This window comes from Homo sapiens, chromosome 8 (genome assembly GCF_000001405.40).
Source record: "Homo sapiens chromosome 8, GRCh38.p14 Primary Assembly".
Taxonomy (NCBI): Eukaryota; Metazoa; Chordata; class Mammalia; order Primates; family Hominidae; genus Homo; species Homo sapiens.
Genome location: NC_000008.11, coordinates 90439490 through 90460452, shown reverse-complemented (window position 1 = coordinate 90460452; position 20963 = coordinate 90439490). Strand labels below are relative to the sequence as shown.

At 37.8% G+C, this 20963-nt stretch overlaps 1 long non-coding RNA gene across 2 annotated transcripts in view; it reads left to right on the top strand.

Moving 5' to 3' along the window:
* Nucleotides 1-20963, top strand: part of LOC124901975 (uncharacterized) — a 267232-nt gene that overhangs the window by 101888 nt on the left and 144381 nt on the right. The window contains exon 4 of one of the 2 annotated variants that reach the window (XR_007061003.1): nucleotides 11196-19764. The exons of the other annotated variant lie outside the window; for it this stretch is intronic. This is a non-coding gene — a long non-coding RNA (uncharacterized LOC124901975). Of the gene's footprint in view, nucleotides 1-11195; nucleotides 19765-20963 lie in introns of those variants that run through there. 2 annotated transcript variants of the gene reach the window in all.

The following is a 20963-nucleotide window of genomic DNA, read 5'->3' as shown; positions in this document are numbered from 1 at the left end:
GATTAATAAAAGCATTCTTTTTCAAGAGTCAAATCACTTACTGAGCAATAATCAGCTATCAAAATTATGTCATGGGTTGCTTGTCCACAAACTCAATCAGATCTTTGCGTAAATTGTACTTTCACATTTCCATTCTTGTGTCCAGAGTCAACAAATGTCAACTCCGTAGGCAGGAGCTGACGCAGCCCTTGAGCCTTGTTTCCTAAATATGGCTTTTGCACAAAAGCATTAGAAAGCTCAATGAGCTTATATTTATTGAATTCTTACTGTGTCCCACTAAGCTAAACTCTGAAATGGATAATCTTATTTAATTCTTACATATCAATGAGTTAAGTACTATTTTTAGCATTTCCACTTAAAAAAAAAAACTGATGTGCAGAGATTAAAGAGCATGGCAAATACATAGTGCTAGTGAATGGCAGGAGAGGCACTTGGAGTGAGCTCTCTATATCCAAAGCCCACAACTTTACCCACTGTGCTCGTCTGTGTTTTGTCTACAACAAACTTTTCATGACCTCTTTTACTGCCCAAAAAGCCCATCCAGTTCAGGAAAGAACAAGCAGACTGGAACATTCTGCATAGTGCTCCCATTACTGCCACATTATACCCCTGGGCACTGACCTGTATTTCATCAAATTTCATACATATTGATGCTGGAGTTTTCTTTATCTTACCAAAAGGTTTTCACACAACTGTATCATGTCTATCCCATGACTGATGGTAATTTTGAGTTGTCATTGCTTTTAAGATGTATCCTAACTTCATTGTGGTTAATTTTTTAAAATTTAATTTTTTAAAGTCAATATAGTGTAATAAATATTGATTAGTATTGTCAAAGCCCTTTAGTGTAGTCTGGGGCCTTACTCAGCAACCTAATTTTGATTTACCTGTCACTAACATATTTTCCAAGAAAATAATCATTTAATTCTAACAGAGCTTAATCCGCTTTTTCAAACCATGCATCATGTTTACTAACTCACGTGTGACTCTCATCCAAGCAGCCACAATTAGAGTCAGCTGCATCCTTTTTCTTTCCAGAATTAAGTACATATATATTTAATTAATTAATATATGTGCGTATATATATGTAGTGACTGTAGAACTTAGTAATTGGTGACAGGTTTCATGATAACTGCTTTAGTTGAAAATAATTTTGAACTTTCAATGATTATATAATCACAGAATCTCGAGTCTGAGGAAATCTTTACATTCCAACTGGTCCAATCTCCCACCCTGGGTAGGAATTCTTGGCTGTAGCTCATCATCCAACCTTGGTGGCTGTGATATATGATACAGCAAATAACATTCTCTATTGATTTAGGTAGGTAAAATGTGATGTATTTTATGTTGCAAAATAAAAGATTTAAAATATTGGGTACATTATGTTGCAAAGTCTCCACCAAGTATCTTTATTTCTTGTTACATGTGGTAGCAACAGCACCAAGTGCCTCAGGGCCTAGACATCTCAGTGATGACTGGCCCTAGGAGACCATCGCTGAGTCCTGATTGCTGCAAATTGGGCTGGCAAATAATACCTGCCTGTACTTAACGTGGTATCCTTGCAACAGTGAATCCTGCTGTGCCCCTATGGGTTCCCTGAATAGCAGCCTCTTGAGTATCTTTTTGACAAGTTCTCTTTAGTTGTCACTGCAGGCCTGGTGTTTGGCCAAGCTTTACATCCATGCTATTAGTGATTTTATTATTCCAGTCAACACATTTCTGCAATAATGATAAAGTACCAATTATGTAATTCTATATTGTTTTGTTATGAATAATAATTAAATGGCTATGAACAATAATTATAGCTACCACTTTTTTATTGACCAGTATGCTAAGTGTTTTGTAATATATTATGTCACCATTATCACTTATTAAGCTTTCATAACTTATCCATAATCAGACTACCTGACCTAATGCCCAAATTTTCAACCTCAACCCTAACTTACTGGGAAGAAAGAAAGTTTATGAAACTTGGCCTAGAGAATTTATAGGAAGTGTGTAAGTTCACACAGCCAACAAGGGGTGAAATTCAGACTTGTGTTACAAGTCTTGCTTTTGGTCCATAGCTCCTTCTAAAACTCAACATTTGATGAAACACATGCAATTTTTGAATACATGGCTGGCTTACTTCTAGTGTAATTAAATTTAGTCTTTGATGTTGCATCCATTTTAATATGTCAGAAATTATACACAAATGTCTGTCTTAGTCTATTTGGGTTGTTCTAACAAAATACTATAAACTGAGTGGCTTTTTTTTTTTTTTTTTTTGAGATGGAGTCTCCCTCTGTCGCCCAGGCTGGAGTGCAGTGGTGTGATCTCGGCTCACTGCAAGCTCTGCCTCCCAGGTTCACGCCATTCTCCTGCCTCAGCCTCCCGAGTAGCTGGGACTACAGGTGCCCGCCACCATGCCCGGCTAATTTTTTTGTATTTTTAGTAGAGACGGGATTTCACCATGTTAGCCAGGATGGTCTCGATCTCCTGGCCTTGTGATCCGCCCGCCTTGGCCTCCCAAAGTGCTGGGATTACAGGCGTGAACCACTGCGCCCAGCCAACTGAGTGGCTTATAAACAACATAAATTTATTTCTCACAGTTCTGGAGGCTGGGAAGTCCCAAGATCAAGGTGCCAGCAGATTTGGTGTCTGGACAATGCCTACTTCTTGGTTCATAGATGGCCATCTTCTCACTGTAAACTCACATGACAGATGTCTAAGATTGAACTAAAAGTCAGAATCAGGAATGATTGGTCTGAAAACGCTGGATTCTATTTCTGCAGCTCCTCCCAAACTAAAGCAGTGGTACCAGGTGGCTCAAAAGTCACATAACTACTTCTGAACCTGACAAATACAGAATTACAATGACAAAGCCAATATTTGAAAGTAGAATAAAATCCATTCCTAAATCCTACCTGTGTCTTTGTGTAAAAGGTATAAACTAAATTTAAGTATTCATTAATGAAAGAAAAATTAAAGCTGTCTATCTAGCCAACATCTCAAGAAAATGTAAATTATAATTCAAATTTATATTCTTGTCTTTAAGTTATAAGGAAAAGGGTGGTTTAACATGTATAAAATAAAAGTCAATTACAAAATAAACCAGAGAGAATAAAAGTTCAAGAGAAGGAATTGGGAAATTGCTTCTTCATTTGATCAATGCTGGTCCCAAAGAACAACTAAAAAAATATTGAGGCTATGAGTCAAGATTGACAGTTCATTAATTGACATTTACAACTTTGTTGACACTTAGTAGACTAAAGTTAGTTTTTGGGTTCCCCAGAAGACAGAATATTTTTTTCATCATTAAAAGCCCAGAGGGCCTGGATTTCATAGTATTTTATTCTTAAGAATATTAGTTCTTTCAGCAATCATTTAAAATATCACAGTGTCTCCTATGAGAGCACTTATATTTTATTGTGTTATATTTTATTGTGTTACTCTCTGGGTTATGACCTTTCAAGTCGATTATTTCCCTCTCCCTTCCCAGAGGCAATCTCATCCTGATTTATATCACCATGGATGGTTTTGCCTGTTCTAGAACTTTCTGTAAATGGAACCATATAATATGTACTTCCTTCTTCCTGTATTTTTTACTCAACATAAATATATTGAGGTTCATCCATGTTAATGCCTTCATCAGTAGTTCATTCCCCTTTGTGTGCCGAGTAGTAGTCCATTGTATGAATATAGTACAGTTTCTTACTCATTTTTCTTTTGATGACCATTTGGATTTTTTCCATTTAGGGGCCACTATGAAGAATGTTTTGAAGATTATTATTCTTCAAGTTTTTGTTTGTTGGTTGGTTGATTGTTTGTGGACATATGTTTTCATATATTTTGAGTAGATCCTGTTAATATTTTCTCTCCTCACTGATTTAATTAACCATTTCCAGAGAAAAAATCCTCAGTTTTAAAAGGCCTGAAATATTTCCATTAAAAAAATAGAAAATATATTTGTTAATAAAACCAGGACCAGCCAATGAGAAAGAATTACAAACAAACTAATATTACTTGAAATACACATTTTGCTGGTCTATCTGTTCTCATAAGATTTTAATGAGAAAATAGTATATTGTCCTTGTCAAGATAGAACTGATAATCTGATTTTTGCTTCCTGCACCAGGAGACACTGAGGGTACTAGTTAGAACATTTGCCATGACACATTTTCCAATGTCAAAACCTTAATATACATTAGGAAAAAAGGAGGGAAAAAAACTAGAAAAGGAAGAAAACACTATTTTTGTGTTTCTATGTAACATATGTTGTGTCAGATATTTTCACATACTTTTTGTAATAATAATTATAATAAACAGCTACCAAACACAGGGAATTTGTTTTTTGCCAGGCACTGTGCTTCATGCTTTGTAAGCATTTCCTCATTAAATTCGCAGGATTCATGTAATTTTTCCAAGATCATGAAACTAGTAAGTAGTATAGCTAGCACTCAGATCCAGTGCTGTGTGAAACCAGATTCTGAGTTCTTCCTACTATGCAATCCTCACTCCCATTTTTGTCACTTATTACTTATAAGACCTCTGCAAAATAGCTGTTTCAAAACTCCTTTGCCAATGAAAACACTGTTGCCTGAAGAGGTTACATGATTTGCCCATAGTGTGGGTTACTGTTTCTTAGTGACATATAGTTCCTAAATTTGTTTCCTAGAAATGTCTTACTTATTGCTAATACTGGTGAGAGAAAAATACAAAAGGCTTATAATCTGTCTCTTTAACACGCAGAATTTTATATAACACTCCACAAGAACTCCTTTGTTATTTAACATGAAATGATGGAAAGTGAGAAAAGAATGGTAGAAACAGAAATTGTCATCTTGAAGGGTACCTGGCAGCTTCATAGTTATAGCATGGACCCTGCCCTTCTTTTTCAGGTTATGGCTCCCCAGGAAAACAAGGTGATGACGTGTGCTCTTTAAGCTGCACCACTGCCTTTGTAGGCTGCCCACTACTTACTGTGACCATATCTGTGCTTAGACAGGAAAGACAAAAGCAAAGACAGAAATTTTGACAAGAGAAATGGTTCCTAATTTCCTCCATGCAATAGACCCTATTCATGTTAGTCTTGTCAATCAGATTATGCAACAACAAAAGAACAATTCATTTCTTGTCAGAGAAGAATGCTAGTGAAGGATTCTGAAAATCCAGAAGGCTTTTGATGTGACAGCTTTAGTGATTCCACTTACTAACAGTGTAATAAACTGAAGCAAGGCTGTGATAGTGCCAATCATAAGAAGCAACTCCCTAAACAGAATATGTCCAGGATTCAGAACATGTTGATTATTTGTGTTTTAAAAGAGGCCATTGTCTGACCAAAGGCTAGCATTATGAATAAATGATTACAAAAAATAAAAAGACAGCAATTTGTTTCTTGCTAATAAATACCTTGAATGAATGGTTTATGAAAATTATTCAGCTGTCCTGACATTTTCATTAATGAAAACTGATAGGTGGGAGACATTTTTTATGACTTTGAGAACTCACTCCCATAGAACCCAGATACACGTTCCCTGATGCTTTGTAGGTGACTATCTATGGAGTATCGTTCAAAAAGTGCAAAGCAGATGAAACAATTTTCTCCGGATTCTTATACCCTCTCCCTTTTCTGTCATTCCATCCCATTACCCCATAAGCATGTATGCACATATATACATACACACAAGCTTTAATTAAAGGGTACCACTAACACAGATTAGTTCTTGGAGGGGCTCCAGCCTAGAAGGTGTTGAGGCCTGGGTGCAAGCCCAAATTGTTATGATGCCTAAAACTTATGTGCTATCTGAAGGAGAAGCATTTCAAGGGGAAAATTCCAAAGTGCCTGTGTTCCAAATTTAAAGGGTTTTATTTGCCTAAAATGAAAGGCTGATGAGGGCACAAAGGAAAAATGAAGTTAAATAATAGAAAAATAAAGATGGCTACATACCTTGCATGCCTTCATTTGAGGGTGGCGAAAATGAAAAGGTCTTCAGATATCTGGTCTCACTTGAGCTGATCTCACTTGAGCATAGGATTCATGATGTTCAATAGAACTTGGTGGCCTGATGAAAAAGTTCTATATTAGTCTATCCATTATGTTAGCCTGTAGCCTCATGTAGCCATCAAGTTCCTGAAATGTGACTAGTGTAATAGAGGAACTACATTTTAAATTTTATTTAATTTTTAATTAATTTAAATGTAAATAGCTACATGTGGCTAGTGGCTACCATATTAGACAATATAAGTATAAGTCATTGTCTTATCTCATTGTATTTTACGAATGAAGAGACAAACTCTGAAATGCTCTGAAATACCTTAAAATTATGTGGCTAGTAATGAAAGATAACATCTTGATTCCTAGACTGGAGTCCTAGGAAGTATGTTCCTTACCTTCCAACACTTTAGGAAAGATTATTTAGGCTAAGATTAAGGTTCTAGGAGAGTGAGCCTGAGCAGGGATATTTAGGAGTAGGCAGAGGCATTGTCAATATAAGAGGGATTTGGAAAGGGAAGGTAGAGAGGGCCAGTGCCAACTCCACTGTTTTCATCATGTCTAGTACCATTGTTTCCCATGCGGCCAAATCATCATCTTCTGAACATTAAAAAAACATAAAATGTCAAATGCCATTCTCAGAGAACTACAGTTTTAAAAGTCTCCTCTGGTCATTCTGATACACAGTCACATAGGAAACCACTTACTGAGATCACCCCTTGGAGAGTAAAAACCTGCAGGAACGGCCAGGAGCAGTGGCTCACGCCTGTAATCCCAGCACTTTGGGAGGCCGAGGCAGGCGAATCGTGAGGTCAGGAGATCGAGACCATCCTGGCTAACATGGCAAAACCCCGTCTCTACTAAAAATGCAAAAAAAAAAAATTAGCTGGGCGTGGTGGCAGGCGCCTGTAGTCCCAGCTACTTGGGAGGCTGAGGCAGGAGAATGGCGTGAACCTGGGAGGTGGAGCTTGCAGCGAGCCGAGATCGCGCCACTGCATTCCAGCCTAGGTGACAGAGCAAGACTCCATCTCAAAAACAAACAAACAAACAAACAAAAAAAAACCCTGCAGGAACTAGTGGAGTGAAATGACCAAATGAGTGCTAATAAATATTTATTGTGTGGCTTCTATATGCTACTGAGGGGCTGTGTAGTTGCATGTGGTTTCAAATCCTAGCTCTGTCACTAGATGTGCTACTTGGGCAAGCTATTTAACCTCTTTATGCCTCAGTTTCCACATCTATAAAATTAAGATAGAAATTATATTTTTCTCATAGAGTTTTTGTCAGGATTAAAGGACATAAAGCACTTACAAAAGTGCCTGGCAGGTGGTACCTATTATATAGATTTTGGATATTACAGTTTTGTGCATGAGACCAACACTTAAACAGAAACTGTCACCACAATAGGAAAGATGTTCATGGGCACCACAGAAGAGGAGCCATTAGCTCAGCAGGAGCTAACGGAAGGACAAGAGGGACTGGAGAGACAGGAAATCAATTCCTGCATTGTCTGCTTGAACTAGACCAAGGCACTTTCAAAAGAAATCATTTCTCTGGATTGCAGGGTATCCACGTCTAAATTTTTTCTACTTCCAGCCTTACTGTGAAGGATGCATGAAGGCCAGCACAATGGGCTTTGTTCCTGCAGTGGACATGGGTTGGCCCTGCCCTGCCCAGCTGTAGCTCAGAGGCTGGATTTGAGACCACCCAAGGACAGGCTGCCCGTAAATGGGAAAACAATTATCTCCCTTTCTTTTCCTTTGACAGAAACTTCAAAATCATCCTGCTGTGGGTTCACATCTGTATGACTTCTACCCAAAGCGTTTTATGTGTGGATATAGTGTGCATGGGAGAAATTAAGGCCACTGGCATTTCATGTTCCTGTCATGGTTTTTATGATAATATCTCATAGGGAGAAATGTCATGCTCTGCAATGACCCATTGCAGTTCTTATTGAAATTGAAGGACAACATAGTCTTCAATTACACAACGTGTGGCTAATTCAGGGAGGGTTAGCATTCATTTGGCTTCCTTTTAAAAAGGCAGGACTACTGCATTTCACTGATGTCCAAATATCTCGAAAAAAACACAGTGCCTGGTGCTCAGTAGATGGTGAATAAATTTTGTTAAAAGAAGGAATGGCTGTGTCACTGTGTCTTCCTATTACAGAGGACAAACACTCCCTAGAAAAACCCACAGCCATTTTTGAGTAGATCCATTGGATCAATTATGAATATTCCTTTTAATATTGCTACTGGTTTTTGTCTTCTTTATCAGATGTAAGCCTCATATGTTGAAACACATCTGACTTATTCACTGGTTTATTCCTACAGTTTATCAAAGTATTAGGTATATAATAGATGCCCTGTAAATACACATTGAAGGAATGAAGAAGTAAAGAAAGAGGTTGCTACCCTTCCCAGGTTGATGTAAGCTTTTCTTCTCTCCTATATGTTAGAGAATTGATCTTCTTTTGAAATTTGTCAGGGCAATTATTAGGAGTTACTATGTCCAGGTGAAAACCTTCTGATAGTGGTGTATTTTAAATCTTAAGGGTAGTGAAAATTTTCAGTGCAAAGAACTACAGAATGTACCAGCAACTCTGCGTGTTACTGATTCATCTAATGGAAACACAAGGAGCCTACGTTATAGTCCCTTCCTTAGTGAACATCCGTATTGTGTCTCAGGCTGAAACAGGCACCATGAAAGAGGGATGGCTGGGTGCTATAAGGAGGACCTGGTTCCACATCGAATTGTGCCAGATTTGAATTCTAACTCTGTTTATTGATCTTGCTTTACTCTAAAATATTATTTCAGGTTTTCCTTACTATCTCAGCCAAATTTCTAGCCCAGAAACTGTTTTTAGGTCCCCTGAGAACCATGCATTATTCCAACTAAAAGACAGTGATTTACAGGCATATCTCATTTTATTGTGGTTCATAGATACTGCCTTTTTGTTAAAAAAAAAAAAAAAAGGAAAAGAAAAAAGTGGAAGGTTTGCAGCAACCCTGCATTGAGCAAGTCTATGCAAAGTCTGTCCATGCCATTTTTCCAACACTGCGTGCTCACTTCATGTCTCTATGTCACATTTTGGTAATTCTCACAATATTTCAAACATTTCCTCATGATTATGTCTGTTATTGTAATCTGTGATCAGTGAACTTGGGTGCTATTTTAATGGTTTTGGGGCACCAAAAACCATGCTCACGTAAGATAGGGAACTTAATCCCTAAATGTTTATGTCCTGGTCCTTCCACTTATTGGCCCTTCCCTCATCTCGCTCCCTCTCCTGAAGCCTCCCTGTTCCCTGAGAAACAACAACATTGAAATCAGTCCAATTAGTAACCCTGCAATGGTTGTTACATTAAGTTTAGCCTAAAGCTGCCTCCATGTAATTTTGGCCTAAAGGTTTCTCATACATAATAAACTGTATCCTAACTGGACATCTAAACAGACTGTAACCTACTCTTATGCCAATCATGGAGTTTCAGCCAATCACAGTCAGCCAGCTGTTCAAATAAGGCAAACACCCCAAGCTGTAACCAGTCCAGCTGTTTCTGTACCTCACTTCAGTTTTTGCATTCACTTTCCTTGTTCTTCCCAGAAATCTTCTCTAACCACGTGGAAGTGCCACAATGTCTCTGAAAGCATTCTGGCCTGGGAGACAGCCCAATCTTGAATTACCCTTTTTTGAATTAAACTCGGTTAAATTAGAAAAAAATAATCTTACAATGTCATCTAAGTGTTCAAGTGAAAGGAAATTTCATACATCTCTCACTTTAATCAAAAGCTAGAAATGATTATGCTGAGTAAGAAGAAGGCATGTTGAAAGCTGAGATGGGATGAAAGCTAGGTGTCTTGCATCAAACAGTTGGCTAAGTTGTGAATGCGAAGGAAAGGTTCTTGAAGGAAATTGAAAGTTCTACTCTAATGAACACACAAATGATAAGAAAGCAAAATAGCCTTATTACTGATATGGAGAAAATTTTTGTGGTCTCAATAGAGGATAAAACCAGCTACAACAGTATCTTAAGCCAAAGCCTAACCCGGAGCAATGTCCTAACTCTCTTCAATTCTATGAAGGCTGAGAGATGTGAGGAAGCTGCAGAAGAAAAGTTTGAAACTAGCAGAGGTTGGTTCATGAGATTTAAGAAGTCATGTCCATAACATAAAAGTGCAAGATGATACTCTGGTGATTTCTCTTCAGATCATATGCATCTTTCTCCTTTTACTAAAAGTGCAAGGTGAAGCAGCAATTGCTGATGTAGAGGCTGCAGCAAATTATCCAGAAGATCTAGCTAAGATAATTGATGAAGATGGCTACACGATACAACAGATTTTCAAAGTGCATAAAATAGCCTTATATTATATTGGAAGAAGATGCTATCTAGAACTCTTACAGCTAGAGAAGTCAGTGCCTGGCTTCAAAGCTTTGGAAGGACAGGCTGACTCTCTAATTAGAGACTAATGCAGCTGGTGACTTTAAGTTGAAACCAACCTTAATTTCCCATTCCAAAATCCCTAGAGTACTTAAGAATTATGCTGAATCTAATCTGTCTGTGCTCTATAAATGGAACAAAGCATGGATGACAGCACATCTGTTTATAGTATGGTTTACTGAATATTTTAAGCCCATTAGTGATACCTACTGCTCAGAAAAACAGATTCCTTTCAAAAATATTACTGCTTATTGACAATGCACCTGGTCACCCAGGATGCGTCTGATGGAGACGTGCAAGGAGATTAACATTGTTTTCATGTCTGCTAACACAAAATCTATTCTGCAGCCCATGGATCAAGGAGTAATCTGGACTTCAAGTCTTATTATTCAAGAATGACCTTTTACAAGGCTATAGTTGCCATCGATAGCGATTTTTCTGAAGGATCTGGGCAAAGTAAATTGAAAACCTTCTGGAAGGAATTTACCATCTAGATGACATTGTGAACATTTGTGATTTATGGGAAAAGGTAAAAATATCCACATTAATTGGGGGTTGGAAGACACTGATTCTAGTTCTCATGAATGACTTTGAGGAGTTTAAGACTTCAGTAGAGGAGTAACTGCAGAGATGGTGGAAATAGCAAAATAACTAGAATTAGATGTGGAACCTGAAGACATTACTGAATTGCTTCAATCTTATGATTAAACTGTAATGGATGAGGAGTTGCTTCTTATGGATGAGTAAAGAAACTTTTTTTTTGTTGTTGTTCTTTTTTTGAGGTGGATTCTACTTCTGGTGAAGATGACGTGAACATTGCTGAAATGGCAACAAAGGATTCAGAAGATTACATCAACTTAGTTTGGCAAAGCAGTGGCAGAGTTTGAGAGGACTGACTCCAATTTTGAAAGTGGGTAAAATGATGTCAAAGAGCATCACATGGTGCAGAGAAATCTTTCATAAAAGAATCAACTGATGTGATCAACTTCATGGTTTCTTATTTTAAGAAATTGTCAAAAGCACCTTAACCTTCAGCAACTGCTGCCCCATCAGCCAGGAGCCATCAACATCAGGAAGACCCCCCCACCAGGAGAAAGATTAGGTCTCACTGAAGGCTTGAATGGTTGTTAGTATTTTTCAGCTCTAACGTATTTTTAAATTAAAGCTTTTACACTGCTGTTTTAAACATTATGCTGTTACATACTTAATAGACCATGGCATAGGGTGAACACAACTTTTATATGCAGTGAGAAACTAAAAAATTCATATCATGTATTCTATTGTGATATTCACTTTATTGCAGTGGTCTGGAACTAAGCCCCCAATATCTCTGAGGTATGCCTGTAATTGAGCATTCCCATAATTATAAACTGTGATACAGGCTATGAAGGAAAAGTGCAACATGTCAGGAGACTGTGTAACAGAGATATCTGGTCTAATGGGGCGAGACAGTCTGAAAAAATTGCTTTAATTGCTGAGAGCTGGAGAAATAATAGTTAACCAGGAAAGGGAGAGGAATCTGGAGGAGGAGCTTCTGGCAGCAGGAATAGAATGGCAAAGTCCAAGTTGTGGGAAGGATAGGGGCCCATTTAAAGAATGGAAAGGAAAATAAAATAGGAACACAGTACAGGAAGGAGTGAGGGATATGAGAAGAAACCAGAGAAAGAAAGGGGCTAATATCGAGGTTCTCTACCTTGGCACTGTTGATTAACATTTGGGGCTGGATGATTCTCTGTTGTGGGGAGTGGCCCTTTGCACAATTTTAGCAGCACCCTCTGGCCTCTACACACTAGATGCCATTCACATCCCTTCCCTTCAGTTATAACAACTGAAAATATTTCCAGATATTGCCACATGTTCCCTGGTGGGGGCAAGGGTGAAATCATCGCCCCCAGGTAAGAGTCACTGTTTTTGATCATGCAGAGCTCTTTAGGCCATATACGGATTGGGGCCTTTATAGGCAGAGCACTAGGAAACTCCTGAAGGATTTCAGTAGAATCCTGTCAGAGAATGTGATAGATCTATGGCACACAAGATAAGGACATCTTCTTTTTCCTGTAAAATAATCATTTTACCTCCTCACATAGCCCCCTCCAGCTATACCAAGATAAAAACTTTTATGTGTGATTCTTATCACCTACCACTAAAATGCATATGCTTAGCTATCAATTATGTTCAAAGAGTACCCAAACATTGCTTTTGAGCATATTGTTGTGTCATGATTGCAAAGTTATAATTATGAATCCTGCAGGGTTCATTAGCAATTCATATCTTCACTAGCTTAGAACTTTCAGAAATGTGTTTTTTGGGGAATCAAATGTATATTATGGCTCTAATTCTGAAAGAGAGATGTTTGGAGAGCTTTGTGACTATTTGATTTTTCTTGCATTAATCAAATGACAACCCTTATTTAGCTAGAGATGCTCTTCAACTTCTTTTACCATTTTATTCCTAAGACTCTTAAAGTGGTGTATATTTTTTTACATTTGGACTTAGCATTTGGTAAAACCAAATACAGAACACATACTCTGGCCAAAGGAAAATTGGCCTTGATTCCAGCCTCAGATATTTAAATAAATCATCGTTGGTGGATGTATTTTTCTTCTGTAGATAGAAGTAGACATTGAGGTAAGAATCTTGGCTCAGAGATGATAAGGAAATACTAAAGAGTTATGTTTAAATATGCAACTTGGCTAGGCACAGTGGTTCATGCCTGTAATCCCAGCATTTTGGGAGAACAAGGTGGAAGGATCGCTTGAGCCCAGGAGTTTGAGACCAGCTGGGCAACATGGTGAGACCCCGTTTCCACAAAAAATTAAAAAATAAAATAATAAAAAAATTATCCAGGTATGGTGGTGCATGCCTATAGTCCCAGCTACTAGGGAGGCTGGGGCAGGAGGATCACTTAAACCTGGGAGGTTGAAGCTGCAGTAAGCCATGATCATGACACTACACTCCAGCCTGGGTGATAGAGCAAGACTCTGTCTCAAAAAGTAATCAGACAAATATGCAACCTTTTGGAGAGCTAATGGTTGATTCTTCTCAAAAGGCAGAACCTCTGGGGATTGGGTGGAGGGAGGGAGAGGAGAAGGAAAGAGGGGCTAAAGCTGCTGAGGGCAATAGTAGGGAGGAAGGATAATAGAATCCAATGCTGTCATAGAGGAGAGGAACAGAAAAACACTGCATGATGCTTGTTGGTAACCTATTTCATCCCTTCAGGAGAGTGGTGTTGAGTGATACAGAATTCTAGCAGGAGAAATTGACCTAAAATGCTTTAAAGAAAGAATCAGGAAGTAGACTTAGTGCCTGGTGTAGGAGTTGGTGGATGCAGAGTCTCTAACACACTGCCTGGAAGAAGGTTCAGCTGTGCATATATGTCCCAGTGACCAACTATTCCAGTTTGCTTGGGCGTTCAGGATTTTCTGAGACATTGGACTTCCAGTGCTTCAAACCTAGACAGTCACAGGCAACCAGGACAGCTGGTGAGCCTACACACAAGGACACTTTTCACAGAGGATCATGGCAAAAATGCAGGGGGCAGACACAGCTTCAGTTCTGATACCACCAGCAGCAGCAGCAATGGAACCGATTTGGGGATGAGCCACAGTACACAGAACAAGTGCTGCTTGGGCTCAAGTAGTTGGTGGTGTGAGCTGTGCTGAAGGTGGCTGCAAAAAGTTTTTGTGAACTCTTCTTTCCCCGTAGAGCTCTACCATGTTACAGAAAGATCTAGGGAGCAGAAATAAGTGGAGAGGTGGAGAACCAAATAAATGATCCATAATTGAGATTGATTGTAAATCTTTCTGGTCTCATATTTAAAATTGATACAGATTATTAAAATTATTATGGATCTACAAAAATATAAATTAGTAAAACTCTTGTTGTACTCATAAAACTGTGAGCAGTTTGAGAGAAAGAACAATGTCCTGTAGACCACTGGTACTCAGTTTAGTTTAGTGCACAACAGACAGTCCAAAGATTTTCTTGAAGATGGAAACAAAATACGAACTGTTTCATGATGTCTTCCCAGGCTTTTATACATCTGTGTTTTCTTAGACTGCTCTCCGGGACACTAGAGCAGCAAAATCAAATGCAGAGAGCAGCCCCATAAGCATAGATTCCCGTGGAAGCCAACTGACATCACACCCACAGATTGGTGGGTGCAGAGTAGTTGGGAGGAGAGGTTTGGCTTAATGGCACTGTACCTGCTTTTTATTACCCTTATTCTAATTTATTTTAAGCCTGGAGCATTTAGGCTGGAGCCTGTTTTCCTAGGTAGAAGGATACCTTATAAAAATTAGTACACACTTGAAGTCACACCGTCCTCAAGATGCTTATGTCTAACAGCAGAAATAGCTGCATATGTGAAATAGCAGCAAATGTTGTAAGGTAATATACAATTAAATGCAATGGCTGTTTAGAAGAAGAGATCATTAGGAGTTAGAGAAACTGGAGATTGTGGTACAGCATTGAAAGATGGCACAGATTGAGAGCATTTTCCAGGTGGGAGGAGAGACAAAAGTGAAAAGAAAAAAAAATCTAAGAAACACAGAATAGAGAATGAGAAGGCTGAAGTTACCAAAAAAAGCTGACACTTTATTATTATTATAAATACAATGATATTTATTTGTATATAACCTATGTATTATGCAATTATTGTGCACTCACTGTGCCACAATTAATGCCCTAAATGACTAAAATGTATTCATTAATCTTCACAGGAGCCCTCCATAGAGGGTAATGTTATTGGCCCATTTTAAAAATGAGAAGAGGTTCTTAGAGGGGTTGAGCAACTTGCCTGGAGCCTCTTAATCAGGACTCAAAGCAATGAATCTGGCTTCAGAGCCTTTGTCCTCATGCAGAGACTCTAAGTGACCTTGATATGTGCCCAAATCAAGCCTGTATGTTGGGAAATTGCAGAGAACTATTTTGGGAGAAACATGAAAGACCTTGGTATTTAGGCAGAGGCATATAGACATGGATATTGCAAAAACAATTCATCAACCTTGTGGAAATGTAATTCTGGGTAGGTCCACATCGGTCAGAGCAAGGTCATTTTATCTGACAACCATGATAGAGAGTATCTGTGTACTCTGCCCTTTCAAAAGCTATAGAAATTCATGTGTCATGAAAAAAAGGTAATGGCTTTAAAATATGAAACAGTACAATGTGTATTTCAAGTGTAACCTTAGTACTCACTACAGATTTGCAACTCAATTTTCATATCTGCTAATAGAGTACGGAGTGAGCTTTCTACAATTCTTTACATACAAGAAAACAAACCAAAGAATCAATACTCATAACAGTGTTTTAGTGAAATATAGATATTTACTGGTGGTACTTTAAAACTTTTGAGAAGCATCGCCTGCACAATTTACTATTTTTGTCAGAAAAATTATCAAAAACTGGAAAAAAGGCATAAAATTGTGGTATGCTTTTTTCATATAATATTGGGGGAAAGGCCACTCAAGGACTGGCTAGAAGAATGTTCTTAGTTCATCTTATTGTTAGTTATTGACAAAAGGTCCCAGACTTAATGAAGTTACCTTACTGATAGATTTTTGTCCAGTAACGATGAAAATAATTTTTGTTTAGTGAAATAAATGGTGCCAAAGACTTATGATCTGTTGGACTATAATGGAGCCCGTTTTTTTTTTTTTTTGAGACAGAGTCTCTCTCTTTTGCCCAGGCTGGAGTGCAGTGGCATGATCTCAGTTCACTGCAACCTCCACCTCCCACTTTCAAGCAATTCTCCTGCCTCAGCCTCCCTAGTAGCTGGGATTACAGGTGCATGCCACCATGCCTGGCTAATTTTTGTATTTTTAATAGAGACGGGTTTCACCACATTGTCCAGTCTGGTCTCGAACTCCTGACCTCATAATCTGTCCACCTTGGCCTCCCAAAGTGCTTGGATTACAGGCTTGAGCCACCGTGCCCAGCCCCTTTCGTTTTTCTTTTTAATCAAAATCAGCAATCTTATCCTAACATTTCTTTGCTAAATCTCCTATAAATATCCTAGCATTTTGAATATTTTTGAGGCAGTCATAACACTTATTGAGTCCCTCATAAATTGAAGAGTTAAATAAAGTTTTTTAGAGTCATGATTTTTATCTTCCGATACGTATACTTTAACACTTTGAAAATATATTTTGGTGGCAGTTTTCTCACATCTGTAATTCTAAAAGACAGAAAAAGGACACCCTCTGACTGTTGGTGTGGATTTGACTGTAGAATCTAGAACTCAAGAGTGAATTTATTTTCTCTGTTTTACTCACTGATTTTTGGAATAAGTTCATAAAATATTCTTAAAACATCTCATTCTGAAATTGTTGCTCTCTCTCTTTACTTAAGATGATCTTTATGACTGGTGGGAAAATCATGGTGTCTGTTGTGAATGGGAAATAATGAAAATGTCTTATGGTGGTAGCAGTGTGCCACTTGCTTGTATAGTAATGATCTATTTTAACATACAGGCCTCTGATTCCACACTTGCAATTTATCAAATTTTCTGACTTGTACTTATAAAAATGAAATTCTAGAAATTTATTTGGCAACATTGCCACACCTATAAAAGCACTATAGTCTTTATCTGTACCCTATATAAAAGATAGAAATAAGACTTTTGGATAACCAAGCACTTTCTTTTTCAGGAAATAATGTGAATAAGATGACTTCAACTCTCAGGAAAAAAAAAAAGAGCTTTAATGAAAAGATTTTTAAAGGGTTTGACATTTAGCTAACAATGGGGTTCAAATTTCAAATGTGGCCACAAATGTATATTTGGGTAAAAAGGAATTTAGTAGACTTTAATGCATGCAAAGATATTCAAAACTATTAGAAGGAAGAATTCCAATGAAGCAAATTAGAATAAATTAAAATATTGTTCAACAATTCAATTAACCTTTCAAAATTGCACAAGTAGTGTCATACTGTGCTCATGTTACCTTAATAAAATACTATATACATATAGATGGTGCTCAAATTATACCATTAGTAGCATTTTTCTGAAGTAAATTCTAACATTATTGACACTCAGCAGTGATATTTACTATATGGAAATAGAAAAGTTCAGGATAAACCTGTTCACTAACAATCTGGGGTATTTTACCACAAACACCCCAGTTTTATTTATGTATGTACTTATTTATTTTGAAAGGAAAAAGGGAAAACCACACAAACAATTTATGAAAGCTTCCAATTAGGTACATTTTAGCAAAAATGCATATTACAGCTTGTCATTAACTAAGACTGTTTTGGTTCATAGGTTGAGCATATCCATATTGTCAGCATGAATAATATGTATGGTTTTCTCTCTAAAAACATTTCTTTCCAAGATCCAAGAAATAGAACTTTCTTTTCATTATCTGGAGCAGGGGAGTTCATTAAAAGGAATTCAAGCTCAGTACTGTCCTTACTTTCCCATCTGGGATAACTAATTCTGTCTCACTTATGTTACAACCAGCATTCTATAGCATTTCTCAAACTAAGGACTGGAGGAATTAGAAAAATTTCCCATTATATCCATTGTAATTTTGAGGAAATTGCTGAATATACTTAATTCTTAATGTAAAAATGTCTTTTTTTTTCAAAGGAAGATAAATAGCATTAATGAGCACTTACTCTGAACCAGACATTGAGATATTTTATGCTATTTGGAGCTGTTGTAATTCTAATGTTGGGGGCTAGTGGGGTGAGGCATGGAGAAGTTATATAACCTGTCCAGGGACACACTGTGTATAAATGGCAAAGCTGGTGAGCAACCTCAGGACTTCTAGCTGCAATCTGCATGTTTTTTCAACTGTACCATGCTGCACTCAGTTCAATGAGCAATACATCTATCTGTTTACCCATGACCTCAGTTGAACTAAGGTATCTCTAAAGAATATTGGACAGTTTAGAAAAAGACCTTTTTGTCATGCTTTGTATTCATCCTCTCCTAGGAACATTTCAAATGTGACATGTGTAACTGCATTCTAACAGAGAGGGCAAGAAAAAAAAAAGACTCATTCAAAAACAGATTATTCTCATTGCAGAAAGCCTGGTAAAAAATGTCCCCAGCTCTGCCTCCTTTTACTAGTTCTATAACCACCCCTTCTACTTCTGTTCCTTCTTCTTCTCTTTTGGCTTCTGGAATATAACTATACATTTCCCTCAAATCAAATACTCTGAGTTCATACTACCAAAAGAGAAAAGAAGACAAATATAGTATAAGACTTTAACTTAAATAAAATAGAAGAAAGAGTGAAGCCTGATAAATGAGGACATTACCCATTTATTTATTGAACCTAGTTAGAGATATGAATAGGAAATAGGAAATAATGTAATCCAGTAGACGACTAAGACAGGTAGACAGTTACGTAATCATGCTATAATATTATTAATGCTCTCATAAAGGCCTACACAAATTATTTCAGGAGCTCAGAGGCTGTAAAAGTTAATTTTGCTTGAAGGGATCAAGAGATTCTTCAGAAATACTTTAACTGAGCTACATATTGGAGAACCAAGAGTTTTACCAGAGAAGCAGGTGCAGGAGGCATTTCCAGGAGATGGAATACAGTGAGCCAAGGCATACAGAAATGTGAAAGTAAAAAGAAGGTTGGAAAATATTGAATTGTTCCCTGTGTTAGAGGACACATGGGTTAGGGTAAGGAGTAGTTATTTAAAGATTTGCTATTCTTGAGAGTTTGGATTTATCCTGTGATCAAAAGAGAGCCAAACATTGAAACATGGAAGGGCATGCCTTTAATGCTATGAAGGACTGGATGGATTTTATCTATCTAGGCAGATTTCTTGCATGGTATTAGGCATATTTATGTGATGACTTTAGGGGAAGAGTTAGTTCTCTCAGTTGATATCTGAGATGTAGAAGGAAAAAGGACCAGTCTTCCCAAATTCACCCATATTTTCTAGAGCAATCAACTAACACCTCCAAGGCCATCCCTTCTAGACACTGCTTTTCGACAGAAGTATTACAGGGGCCAACTCTATGCAGTGTGTATACTCTATGCCCCATGGTGATCAGAGTCAGCTAGGTATCTGTGGTGGCCAGCTCTGTTCACATCCTTTCTAAGCCCAAGGAGTGGCCTTTTGAAAAGTCTAAACAAGCCGGAGTCATATATAGAGGAACTAAATACCTTGCATTGTGCCACAGAATATAACTTGGTGCAGAAAGACTTGAGTCTAAATTCTGACTCAACTACTTACTAGCTGCGTTGGGTATGTTATGTAACTTGTTTGAAGCCGGGTTCTCATTTGTAAAATGAAAATATTTATCTTGCAGGGTTCTTGTGAGAATTCAGCGTGATAATACATGGAAATAACAGATTCTCAATAAATGATACCTCTGCTGCAGAGGCTTAATTTTCTTTCCTTGACCTTATAAAACATTACACTCCATCAGGGTGAGAATCACACAAGAGAGAGAAGAAAGTTTAGCATAGCATGCATGCTAATTGCAGCTTAGATACAGCATATTTTCTTTACTTTCCTGAGATTTCCTGAAAACAAATGACATTATTCCCTATCCCTTGCTGATTAGTCATTTACTGTTGAGAACGGTCGTGTTGCTATGTAATAACATGAAATAGCCAATTGTCTAGTTGGAAGCTAAGAGATGTATGCCTTAGTGAAGCTGGCAGACAAGCTCATAATTTTACATTTCCTCTGAGGGTTTTTTTCATTTTGATTATGAAGCAGAAGCAGAATATTTTCAACATTAGATCATTTTACACATGTTAACTTATTTAAACACCACTAAGGCTTTTTGGCAGAAACTGAAATTTGTTTCTCTGCTTTCAATTAACCATGGTGAGATTTTCCTGAGACTGTCAACTGACAGTTCACTGGTATCTCTTGGTTCCAGTTAAAATCAGACACTATTTTGACAAAGGTCACAGTTGAGTACTTTCTTTGTCTGCCTCCCATTTAGATATATAACTCTATGCATAGAGTTTGGGTTCAATTTGTATTTGTTGAGTAAGTACAAAAATGCAAGACCATCCTAAAGATAGACATCTGGGTCATCAGCTGTGTGTGCTTGGGATTATGTGCGGTTGCCTATTTTCCTGTCTCCACCTTTATTAGATCAAGATCTTCTTGATGGAGGGGACCATCTCCAGTATTAGTACAGATAGAAGGCAGATTAAAAAACTGTTGGAAACAAAAACGTATCATAATATCTATGGCATTTTTCATCTGCATTGTTTTCTGGAGGTGTCGTATGATTTTAGCATTCTTAGTGGGTTGGATAGGGTAGACCGTGGTAAAGGGACAAATTCAGAGAATGTGGTCAGTGGAATGAAGAGGAACCATTCTAAGGACAGTCTTAGTGCACATTGGGACCTGGAAATGAAGTGTCTTCTCTCCAGGCTCCGCATTCCCTGCCATCGGTGTGACTCTGTGACTCTTGACATCTTAACAGGACCTTGCCAGGAAGATAAGTAGAAAACAGATTGGGAGAGAACCCACAGTCTGTTTCCTCCTGCCCCACAGTCCATTCCTTTTGTTTATATTCAGAAAAACTGAAGAAACATCCAGGTAAATGTGGGGCC